Here is an 11,846-nt window from a genome sequence, read left to right as displayed (position 1 = left end):
AGTCTTTGCTATTGTAAATAGTGCTGCAGTAAACATACGTGTCCACGTGTCTTCCTAGTAGGAACTTCTTCCTCTTCAGCCCGCTGAGTAGCTGGCACTTTAAGGCAGGTGCCAACGCACCGGCAGCAAGCTTCCTTTTTTGCCCGGGAAAAACTGAGGTGCAGGTAGTATAAGCCATTGATCACGGAACGCACAGGAGCAGAGCTCGAGTCCAAGCATCGTGGCTCCACCCGTCATGCTGGATGCATCTTTAGGCTCCGCTCTAGGTATGTGTATCCTTTACGGGATCAGCCACCGGGCAGTTGCCCTTGCGAGCACGATGAAAAACCTCTGCCGGCTCTTTTGGGTCTCATCCCTGTATCTAAGGGGAATCGCTTGAACCCGGGAGGCGGAGGTTGCAGAGAGCCTAGATCGCGCCACTGGACTCCAGGCTGGGTAACAAGAGCGGAACCTCCGTCTGAAAAAAAAAAAAAAAAAAAAAAATTGGGAGAATTTTGCTCCCACTGCCGTCAAAATCCCACGTGTATTTCACACTTACAGCACAGCTCCATTAGAACTGACCACATTTCCAGGGCTCCCTAGATACCTGTGGCTAGCGGCTGCCATACTACACCGTGCTGGGCTGTAGAATGGGGATGACAAGACAGGGCGGCGGAGATTGTGTTGGCGTGAAGCGAGGGAAACACTCGGCCGCAGGACAAAACTAAAACAGCAAGGGGGCACCGAAAGACTCAGTAGTCCACGTGAATATCCTGATTATGTTGTAGCTGAGATAATGTAGGGTCCACCCCTACCGGGTCTGTGGGTTTTCTCTTCGCGTGTGTGCGGAGACGAGAGATCGAAGAGATAAAGACAGAAGACAAAGAGATAGGAAGAAAGACAGCTGGGCCCGGGGGACCACTGCCACCAAAGCGCGGAGACAGACAGGTAGTGCCCCGAGTGCCTGGAGCGCTGCTATTTATTGTAGTCAAGGCAAGGGGGCAGGGTAAGGAGTGCCAGTCATCTCCAATGATCGATAGGTCACGCGAGTCACGTGTGCACTGGACAGGGGGCCTTTCCCTTTGTGGTAGCCGAGGTGGAGAGGGAGGACAGCAAACGTCAGCGTTTCTTCTATGCACTTATCAGAAAGATCGAAGACTGTGGTACTCCTACTAGTTCTGCTACTGCTGTCTTCTAAGAACTTAAAAGGAGGAGCCAGGTGTACAGGCTGAACATGAAAGTGAACAAGGAGCGTGACCACTGAAGCACAGCATCACAGGGAGACAGACGTTGGAGCCTCCGGATGACTGCGGGCCGGCCTGGCTAATGTCAGACCTCCCACAAGAGGTGGTGGAGCGGAGCGTTCTCTGTCTCCCCTGGAGAGAGGGAGATTCCCTTTCCGGGTCTGCTAAGTAACGGGTGCCTTCCCAGGCACTGGGGCCACCGCTAGACCAAGGCCTGCTAAGTAACCAGGGCCTTCCCAGGCACTGGCATTACCGCTAGGCCAAGGAGCCCTCCAGCGGCCCTTCTCTGGGCGTGAATGAGGGCTCACACTCTCGTCTTCTGGTCACCTCTCACTGTGGCCCTTCAGCTCCTAACTCTGTGTGGCCTGGTTTCCCCCAAGGTAATCATAATAGAACAGAGATCATTATGGTAATAGAACAAAGAGTGATGCTACAAACTAATGATTAATAATAGTCAGATATAATCCTATCCGTTTCCTATCTCTAGTAAAACTTTTCTTATTCTAATTATTTTCTTCGCTGTACTGGAACAGCTTGTGCCTTCAGGCTCTTGCCTGGGCACCTGGGTGGCTTGCGGCCCACAAGATAAGATACATTGCGTTGAACTATAATTTATGTTGATTGCTGAATGATTTAGGGCGGGGGGGTGGGCACCCCCTGAAATTCTGCCCTGGAGGAGTGGCCTCACCCTAACCCTGGCCGTGGCTAATAATAAGGCCCACCTCTTAGGGCCGTGGAGTGAAATAAGTTTTCCAGGTAATGCGCAGTAGAGCCCTCAGCCCTCCGCTGAAGTTGCGTTAGGAAGGAGGAAGGGAGAGGTAAATGCTGAGCCCGCAGGCGGCAGTCTGTGCCTCGGAGAGGAACTTTATCCCAACCTTGCTGGGGGCCTTGACGCCCACCTTGCCCCAAGAGCACCCCGGCAGCCACCCCTGCCCTCTGGGGTCCTGCCACCCCGAGCCCGACCTTCCCCCTTTTCCCCCGCGCCGGGCCAATAGCCTCCTAACTGCGTCGTGCTCATCACCTTTGCGTCGTTTCTTCGCTCCACAAACGTTTACTGAGCGCCTTCCACACGCCAGGCGCCAGACTCGCGCGGGGAAACAGGGATAAGCACTGAGGAGGGGTCCCAGCCCTCAGCGATGGGATTTCAGAGCGGGAGATAAAGGGTTGCCCAGAAGGGTGGTGAGTGGAATGGCTGATATAAACAACGGGGGCGCGATGAAATACACAGGAGGGCTGCTAGTCACATATGGGGCGGGTGCCGAGGGCCCTTGACTAAGGGAGGCTTCCTGCACGGGTGACACCCAAGCGGAGTCCTGACGACCTGCGTCAGAAGTAGCCGGGCGAGGAGGAGGGGAAAGGAATCCACGTCCCGAGCAGAGAGGCAGCGTTCCCTACACAGCACAGGACACGGTCCGCGCACAGAAGCCGCAGGAGACGCAGGCACAGGGGCTGGGGAGAATCCTTGCTGGGCCCTCGCCGCCTCCCTCTGCCGGGTGTCTGGTGCCAGCCTCCTGCCTGGCAGAGGAACTCCAGCCCCTGCTCCCGGAAGCCCCTCCAGGCCTTCGGCTTCCCTGACTGGGCATGGGCCCCTCGTCCCCTCGTCCCCTCGGGTACGGGGCCGGTCTCCCCGCCCGCGGGCGGCGAAGTAAAGGCCCAGCGCAGCCCGCGCTCCTGCCCTGGGGCCTCGTCTTTCTCCAGGAAAACGTGGACCGCTCTCCGCCGACAGGTCTCTTCCACAGACCCCTGTCGCCTTCGCCCCCGGTCTCTTCCGGTTCTGTCTTTTCGCTGGGCTCGATACGAACAAGGAAGTCGCCCCCAGCGGAGCCCCGGCTCCCCCAGGCAGAAGGCGGCCCCGGGGGGCGGAGTCAACGGCGGAGGCCACGCCCTCTGTGAAAGGGGCGGGGGCATGCAAATTGGAAATGAAAGCCCGGGAACGCCGGAAGAAGCACGGGTGTAAGATTTCCCTTTTCAAAGGCGGAGAATAAGAAATCAGCCCGAGAGTGTAAGGGCGTCAATAGCGCTGTGGACGAGACAGAGGGAATGGGGCAAGGAGCGAGGCTGGGGCTCTCACCGCGACTTGAATGTGGATGAGAGTGGGACGGTGACGGCGGGCGCGAAGGCGAGCGCATCGCTTCTCGGCCTTTTGGCTAAGATCAAGTGTAGTATCTGTTCTTATCAGTTTAATATCTGATACGTCCTCTATCCGAGGACAATATATTAAATGGATTTTTGGAGCAGGGAGATGGAATAGGAGCTTGCTCCGTCCACTCCACGCATCGACCTGGTATTGCAGTACCTCCAGGAACGGTGCACCCCCTCCGGGGATACAACGTGTTTCCTAAAAGTAGAGGGAGGTAAGAGACGGTAGCACCTGCGGGGCGGCTTGCACGCCGAGTGCCTGTGACGCGCCGGCTTGACTTAACTGCTTCCCTGAAGTACCTTGAGGTTCCTGATGTGCGGGCGGTAGACGGTAGGCTTATGCGGCACGCTTTCGTTTCCACCGTGGCTACTGCGCTTTGGGAAGGCCACGACCTCCTCCTTTGGGGAGGTCCTTAGGATCTCAGCTTGGCAGTCGAGTGGGTGGCGACCTTTTAAAGGAATGGGACCCACCCGGAGTTCTTCTTTCTCCTGTCTCTCTCTCTCTCTCTTTCTCTCTCTCTCTCTCTCTGTCTCTCCGTCTCTCTGTGTCTGTCTCTGTCTCTCTGTCTCTCTCTCTGTCTCTCTCTCTCTCTCTCCTCTCTCTGTCTCTCTCTCTCTTTCCCTCTCTCTCTCTCTTCCCCCCCCCCGCCTCTCCCTCGCTCTTTTGGTTTCCCCCACCCCCTCCCAAGTTCTGGGGTACATGTGCAGGACGTGCAGGTTTGGAACATAGGTACACGTGTGCCACGGTGCTTTGCTGCACCTATCCACCAGTCGTCTAGGTTTGAAGCCCCGCATGCGTTGGCTATTTGTCCTAATGCTCTCTCTCCCCTTGCCCCCCACGCCCCGTCAGGGCCCGGCGTGTGATGTTCCCCTCCCTGTGTCCCATGTGTTCTCGCTGTTCAACTCCCACTTAGGAGCGAGAACATGCGGTGTTTGGTTTTCGCTTCCTTTCAGTTTGCTGAGAATGAGGCCTTCCAGCATCATCCACGTCCCGCAGAGCGCCCTCTGTGAAAGGGCGGGGCATGCAAATTGGAAATGAAAGCCCGGGAACGCCGGAAGAAGCGCGGGTGTAAGATTTCCCTTTTCAAAAGGCGGAAGAATAAGGAAATCAGCCCGAGAGTGTAAGGGCGTCAATAGCGCTGTGGACGAGACAGAGGGAATGGGGCAAAGGAGCGAGGCTGGGGCTCTCACCGCGACTTGAATGTGGATGAGAGTGGGACGGTGACGGCGGGCGCGAAGGCGAGCGCATCGCTTCTCGGCCTTTTGGCTAAGATCAAGTGTAGTATCTGTTCTTATCAGTTTAATATCTGATACGTCCTCTATCCGAGGACAATATATTAAATGGATTTTTGGAGCAGGGAGATGGAATAGGAGCTTGCTCCGTCCACTCCACGCATCGACCTGGTATTGCAGTACCTCCAGGAACGGTGCACCCCCTCCGGGGATACAACGTGTTTCCTAAAAGTAGAGGGAGGTAAGAGACGGTAGCACCTGCGGGGCGGCTTGCACGCCGAGTGCCTGTGACGCGCCGGCTTGACTTAACTGCTTCCCTGAAGTACCTTGAGGTTCCTGATGTGCGGGCGGTAGACGGTAGGCTTATGCGGCACGCTTTCGTTTCCACCGTGGCTACTGCGCTTTGGGAAGGCCACGACCTCCTCCTTTGGGGAGGTCCTTAGGATCTCAGCTTGGCAGTCGAGTGGGTGGCGACCTTTTAAAGGAATGGGACCCACCCGGAGTTCTTCTTTCTCCTGTCTCTCTCTCTCTCTCTCTCTCTCTCTCTGTCTCTCCGTCTCTCTGTGTCTGTCTCTGTCTCTCTGTCTCTCTCTCTGTCTCTCTCTCTCTCTCTCTCTCTCTCTCTCCTCTCTCCTGTCTCTCTCTCTCTTTCCCTCTCTCCCTCTCTTTCCCCCCCCCCGCCTCTCCCTCGCTCTTTTGGTTTCCCCCACCCCCTCCCAAGTTCTGGGGTACATGTGCAGGACGTGCAGGTTTGGAACATAGGTACACGTGTGCCACGGTGCTTTGCTGCACCTATCCACCAGTCGTCTAGGTTTGAAGCCCCGCATGCGTTGGCTATTTGTCCTAATGCTCTCTCTCCCCTTGCCCCCCACGCCCCGTCAGGGCCCGGCGTGTGATGTTCCCCTCCCTGTGTCCCATGTGTTCTCGCTGTTCAACTCCCACTTAGGAGCGAGAACATGCGGTGTTTGGTTTTCGCTTCCTGTGTCAGTTTGCTGAGAATGAGGCCTTCCAGCTTCATCCACGTTCCCGCAGAGGTCATGAACTCATCCTTTTTTATGGCTGCGTAGTAATTCCATGCTGTATACGTGCCACACTTTCTTTATCCAGCCTATCATTCATGGGCATTCGAGTTGGTTCCAAGTCTTTGCTATTGTAAATAGTGCTGCAGTAAACATACGTGTCCACGTGTCTTCCTAGTAGGAACTTCTTCCTCTTCAGCCCGCTGAGTAGCTGGCACTTTAAGGCAGGTGCCAACGCACCGGCAGCAAGCTTCCTTTTTTGCCCGGGAAAAACTGAGGTGCAGGTAGTATAAGCCATTGATCACGGAACGCACAGGAGCAGAGCTCGAGTCCAAGCATCGTGCTCCACCCGTCATGCTGGATGCATCTTTACGTGCCGCTCTAGGTATGTGTATCCTTTACGGGATCAGCCATACGCAGTTGCCTTGCGAGCACGATGACAAACCTCTGCCGGCTCTTTTGGGTCTCATCCCTGTATCTATACGTTGCATCCCAACATAAAGACCGGAATGTTCCTTTCGCTGACCCAGTCTCTCACCCTTTCCAAACTCCAGAAATCTTGTCTGTCCTCGGAAGAACTCCCCCTGCTTCTTTCTCTAAAGGCTGTCTTCAGGCCGGGCACAGTGGGAGGATCGCTTGAGCCCAGAAGGCCGCAGTGAGGTGAGATCGCGCCATTGCACTGCAGCCCCCGGCGGCAGAGCCGGAGCCCCGTCTCGAAACAAACAAACAAAAACCAACCAACCAACCAACCAACCAACAAACAAACACAGACAAAGAAAGAAAGAGCCCAGGCAACCTAGTGAAAACCTGTTCGGGCTGGGGCGTACCTGTACCCCAGCTGTTCCGGAGGCTGAGGCCAGGAGGATGGGTGGACGCTGGGAGGTGGATGCTGCAGTGAGCAGTGATTGCACCACTGCACTCCAGCCTGGGTGACAGAGCCAGACCCCGTCCCAAATAAATAAACATAAAAATAAAGGAACCAGTTTGTAGAAAGCGGGAGAGGGTCCCATTGAACTTCAAGCCTTCGAGCAACAGCTGTGGCTGGACAGGTTGGACAGCAGGCTGGAGCAGTCGCCATCTTGGCAGGGATCATTGACCCTGATCTATCGTCGGGAGGAGGAAGAGCTGATCTTACGCAGGAGGGCAGGTGACTATGTGTGACTCTGGTGACCTGTTTGGTGCCAGGTGTTACTCCCAGGCCACCCGTAACTGTGAATGTGCAGAACCCTGACTTGAGAAGGCCTGGCCACGAGGCTTAGGCCCCTGGGGAATGAGAGTTTGTTCCCGTACCCAGGAAACCACCAGCATCGGCAGAGGTGATAGCTGAGGAGGAGCGGGGATTTGGACGAGAGACACAGGATGAGTACCCGGGGGGCAGCCCCGTGATCAACAACTGCTGCAAGAGGGGCCGTTTGTTCGACTCGCTAGTCTTCTGCGGCTCTATGCGGTACTAAAGAGCAGAAGACAGAAGATACAAAAACCACAAAAAGTAGCCGGGCGTGGTGCTGCCCGTCAATAATCCCAGCTACTCGGGAGGCTGAGACAGGAGAATCGCTTGAACCCGGGAGGCGGAAGTTTCAGCGAGCCGAGATCACGCCGTTGCAGTCCAACCTGAGCGTCCGAGCGAGACTCTATCTCAGAAAATAAAGACAGAATGAAAGAGCCCGGCGCGGTGGCTTACGCCTGTAATCCCAGCGCTTTGGGAGGCCGAGGCGGGCGGATCGCCTGAGGTCAGGAGCTCGAGACCAGCCTGGCCGACATGGCGAAACCCCCTAAAAATACAAAAATTAGCCGGGCGTGGTGGCCTGCGCCTGTAATCCCAGCTACCCAGGAGGCTGAGGCAGGAGAATCGCTGGAACCCGGGAGGTAGAGGCTGCAGTGAGCCGAGATCGCGCCACTGCACTCCAGCCTGGGCGACAGAGCGAGAGTTTGTCTGGAAAAAAAAAAAAAAAAAGCCAGGGTGAGCGGTGGCTCAAGCCTGTAATCGCAAGCAACACTTTGGGGAGGCGGCAGCTGGGCAGATCACCGGAGGTCGGGAGTTGGAGAACAGCAAGCCAACGTGGCCCCCCCCCATACTTTTAAAAATACAAACTTAGCCGAGCGTGGTGGCACATACCTGTAGTCCCAATGCTTGGGAGGATGAGGCAGGGGAATTGCTTGAACCCGGGGGGCGGAGGTTGCAGAGAGCCTAGATCGCGCCATTGGACTCCAGGCTGGGTAACAAGAGCGGAACCTCCGTCTGAAAAAAAAAAAAAAAAAAAAAAAATTGGGAGAATTTTGCTCCCACTGCCGTCAAAATCCCACGTGTATTTCACACTTACAGCACAGCTCCATTAGAACTGACCACATTTCCAGGGCTCCCTAGATACCTGTGGCTAGCGGCTGCCATACTACACCGTGCTGGGCTGTAGAATGGGGATGACAAGACAGGGCGGCGGAGATTGTGTTGGCGTGAAGCGAGGGAAACACTCGGCCGCAGGACAAAACTAAAACAGCAAGGGGGCACCGAAAGACTCAGTAGTCCACGTGAATATCCTGATTATGTTGTAGCTGAGATAATGTAGGGTCCACCCCTACCGGGTCTGTGGGTTTTCTCTTCGCGTGTGTGCGGAGACGAGAGATCGAAGAGATAAAGACAGAAGACAAAGAGATAGGAAGAAAGACAGCTGGGCCCGGGGGACCACTGCCACCAAAGCGCGGAGACAGACAGGTAGTGGCCCCGAGTGCCTGGAGGCGCTGCTATTTATTGTAGTCAAGGCAAGGGGGCAGGGTAAGGAGTGCCAGTCATCTCCAATGATCGATAGGTCACGCGAGTCACGTGTCCACTGGACAGGGGGCCTTTCCCTTTGTGGTAGCCGAGGTGGAGAGGGAGGACAGCAAACGTCAGCGTTTCTTCTATGCACTTATCAGAAAGATCGAAGACTGTGGTACTCCTACTAGTTCTGCTACTGCTGTCTTCTAAGAACTTAAAAGGAGGAGCCAGGTGTACAGGCTGAACATGAAAGTGAACAAGGAGCGTGACCACTGAAGCACAGCATCACAGGGAGACAGACGTTGGAGCCTCCGGATGACTGCGGGCCGGCCTGGCTAATGTCAGACCTCCCACAAGAGGTGGTGGAGCGGAGCGTTCTCTGTCTCCCCTGGAGAGAGGGAGATTCCCTTTCCGGGTCTGCTAAGTAACGGGTGCCTTCCCAGGCACTGGGGCCACCGCTAGACCAAGGCCTGCTAAGTAACCAGGGCCTTCCCAGGCACTGGCATTACCGCTAGGCCAAGGAGCCCTCCAGCGGCCCTTCTCTGGGCGTGAATGAGGGCTCACACTCTCGTCTTCTGGTCACCTCTCACTGTGGCCCTTCAGCTCCTAACTCTGTGTGGCCTGGTTTCCCCCAAGGTAATCATAATAGAACAGAGATCATTATGGTAATAGAACAAAGAGTGATGCTACAAACTAATGATTAATAATAGTCAGATATAATCCTATCCGTTTCCTATCTCTAGTAAAACTTTTCTTATTCTAATTATTTTCTTCGCTGTACTGGAACAGCTTGTGCCTTCAGGCTCTTGCCTGGGCACCTGGGTGGCTTGCGGCCCACAAGATAAGATACATTGCGTTGAACTATAATTTATGTTGATTGCTGAATGATTTAGGGCGGGGGGGTGGCACCCCCTGAAATTCTGCCCTGGAGGAGTGGCCTCACCCTAACCCTGGCCGTGGCTAATAATAAGGCCCACCTCTTAGGGCCGTGGAGTGAAATAAGTTTTCCAGGTAATGCGCAGTAGAGCCCTCAGCCCTCCGCTGAAGTTGCGTTAGGAAGGAGGAAGGGAGAGGTAAATGCTGAGCCCGCAGGCGGCAGTCTGTGCCTCGGAGAGAAACTTTATCCCAACCTTGCTGGGGGCCTTGACGCCCACCTTGCCCCAAGAGCACCCCGGCAGCCACCCCTGCCCTCTGGGGTCCTGCCACCCCGAGCCCGACCTTCCCCCTTTTCCCCCGCGCCGGGCCAATAGCCTCCTAACTGCGTCGTGCTCATCACCTTTGCGTCGTTTCTTCGCTCCACAAACGTTTACTGAGCGCCTTCCACACGCCAGGCGCCAGACTCGCGCGGGGAAACAGGGATAAGCACTGAGGAGGGGTCCCAGCCCTCAGCGATGGGATTTCAGAGCGGGAGATAAAGGGTTGCCCAGAAGGGTGGTGAGTGGAATGGCTGATATAAACAACGGGGGCGCGATGAAATACACAGGAGGGCTGCTAGTCACATATGGGGCGGGTGCCGAGGGCCCTTGACTAAGGGAGGCTTCCTGCACGGGTGACACCCAAGCGGAGTCCTGACGACCTGCGTCAGAAGTAGCCGGGCGAGGAGGAGGGGAAAGGAATCCACGTCCCGAGCAGAGAGGCAGCGTTCCCTACACAGCACAGGACACGGTCCGCGCACAGAAGCCGCAGGAGACGCAGGCACAGGGGCTGGGGAGAATCCTTGCTGGGCCCTCGCCGCCTCCCTCTGCCGGGTGTCTGGTGCCAGCCTCCTGCCTGGCAGAGGAACTCCAGCCCCTGCTCCCGGAAGCCCCTCCAGGCCTTCGGCTTCCCTGACTGGGCATGGGCCCCTCGTCCCCTCGTCCCCTCGGGTACGGGGCCGGTCTCCCCGCCCGCGGGCGGCGAAGTAAAGGCCCAGCGCAGCCCGCGCTCCTGCCCTGGAGCCTCGTCTTTCTCCAGGAAAACGTGGACCGCTCTCCGCCGACAGGTCTCTTCCACAGACCCCTGTCGCCTTCGCCCCCGGTCTCTTCCGGTTCTGTCTTTTCGCTGGCTCGATACGAACAAGGAAGTCGCCCCCAGCGGAGCCCCGGCTCCCCCAGGCAGAGGCGGCCCCGGGGGCGGAGTCAACGGCGGAGGCCACGCCCTCTGTGAAAGGGCGGGGCATGCAAATTCGAAATGAAAGCCCGGGAACGCCGGAAGAAGCACGGGTGTAAGATTTCCCTTTTCAAAGGCAGAGAATAAGAAATCAGCCCGAGAGTGTAAGGGCGTCAATAGCGCTGTGGACGAGACAGAGGGAATGGGGCAAGGAGCGAGGCTGGGGCTCTCACCGCGACTTGAATGTGGATGAGAGTGGGACGGTGACGGCGGGCGCGAAGGCGAGCGCATCGCTTCTCGGCCTTTTGGCTAAGATCAAGTGTAGTATCTGTTCTTATCAGTTTAATATCTGATACGTCCTCTATCCGAGGACAATATATTAAATGGATTTTTGGAGCAGGGAGATGGAATAGGAGCTTGCTCCGTCCACTCCACGCATCGACCTGGTATTGCAGTACCTCCAGGAACGGTGCACCCCCTCCGGGGATACAACGTGTTTCCTAAAAGTAGAGGGAGGTAAGAGACGGTAGCACCTGCGGGGCGGCTTGCACGCCGAGTGCCTGTGACGCGCCGGCTTAACTTAACTGCTTCCCTGAAGTACCTTGAGGTTCCTGATGTGCGGGCGGTAGACGGTAGGCTTATGCGGCACGCTGTCGTTTCCACCGTGGCTACTGCGCTTTGGGAAGGCCACGACCTCCTCCTTTGGGGAGGTCCTTAGGATCTCAGCTTGGCAGTCGAGTGGGTGGCGACCTTTTAAAGGAATGGGACCCACCCGGAGTTCTTCTTTCTCCTGTCTCTCTCTCTCTCTCTCTCTCTCTCTCTCTCTCTTTCTCTCTCTCTCTCTCTGTCTCTCCGTCTCTCTGTCTCTCTCTCTGTCTCTCTCTCTCTCTCTCTGTCTCTCTCTCTCTCTCTCTCTCCTCTCTCTGTCTCTCTCTCTCTTTCCCTCTCTCTCTCTCTTCCCCCCCCCCGCCTCTCCCTCGCTCTTTTGGTTTCCCCCACCCCCTCCCAAGTTCTGGGGTACATGTGCAGGACGTGCAGGTTTGGAACATAGGTACACGTGTGCCACGGTGCTTTGCTGCACCTATCCACCAGTCGTCTAGGTTTGAAGCCCCGCATGCGTTGGCTATTTGTCCTAATGCTCTCTCTCCCCTTGCCCCCCACGCCCCGTCAGGGCCCGGCGTGTGATGTTCCCCTCCCTGTGTCCCATGTGTTCTCGCTGTTCAACTCCCACTTAGGAGCGAGAACATGCGGTGTTTGTTTTCGCTTCCTGTGTCAGTTTGCTGAGAATGAGGCCTTTTCCTCCCTCCACGTTCCCGCAGAGGTCATGAACTCATCCTTTTTTATGGCTGCGTAGTAATTCTGCTAAGTAACGGGTGCCTTCCCAGGCACTGG

At 56.3% G+C, this 11,846-nt stretch overlaps 3 non-coding genes across 3 annotated transcripts; all 3 read left to right on the top strand.

Moving 5' to 3' along the window:
* The first annotated feature begins 3,350 nt into the window (after positions 1-3,350).
* LOC124904136 (U2 spliceosomal RNA) lies at positions 3,351-3,541 on the top strand. The gene has a single exon (XR_007066009.1). It is a non-coding gene; the product is annotated as a U2 spliceosomal RNA (small nuclear RNA).
* A 1,068-nt stretch (positions 3,542-4,609) lies between these two features.
* LOC124904135 (U2 spliceosomal RNA) lies at positions 4,610-4,800 on the top strand. Its single transcript, XR_007066008.1, has one exon. It is a non-coding gene; the product is annotated as a U2 spliceosomal RNA (small nuclear RNA).
* Positions 4,801-10,743: 5,943 nt separating this feature from the next.
* Positions 10,744-10,931, top strand: RNU2-1 (RNA, U2 small nuclear 1). The gene has a single exon (NR_002716.3). It is a non-coding gene; the product is annotated as an RNA, U2 small nuclear 1 (small nuclear RNA).
* Positions 10,932-11,846: the final 915 nt, after the last annotated feature.

Source organism: Homo sapiens, chromosome 17, assembly GCF_000001405.40.
Source record: "Homo sapiens chromosome 17, GRCh38.p14 Primary Assembly".
Classification (NCBI taxonomy): domain Eukaryota; kingdom Metazoa; phylum Chordata; class Mammalia; order Primates; family Hominidae; genus Homo; species Homo sapiens.
This window is presented reverse-complemented; position numbering and strand designations above follow the sequence as displayed.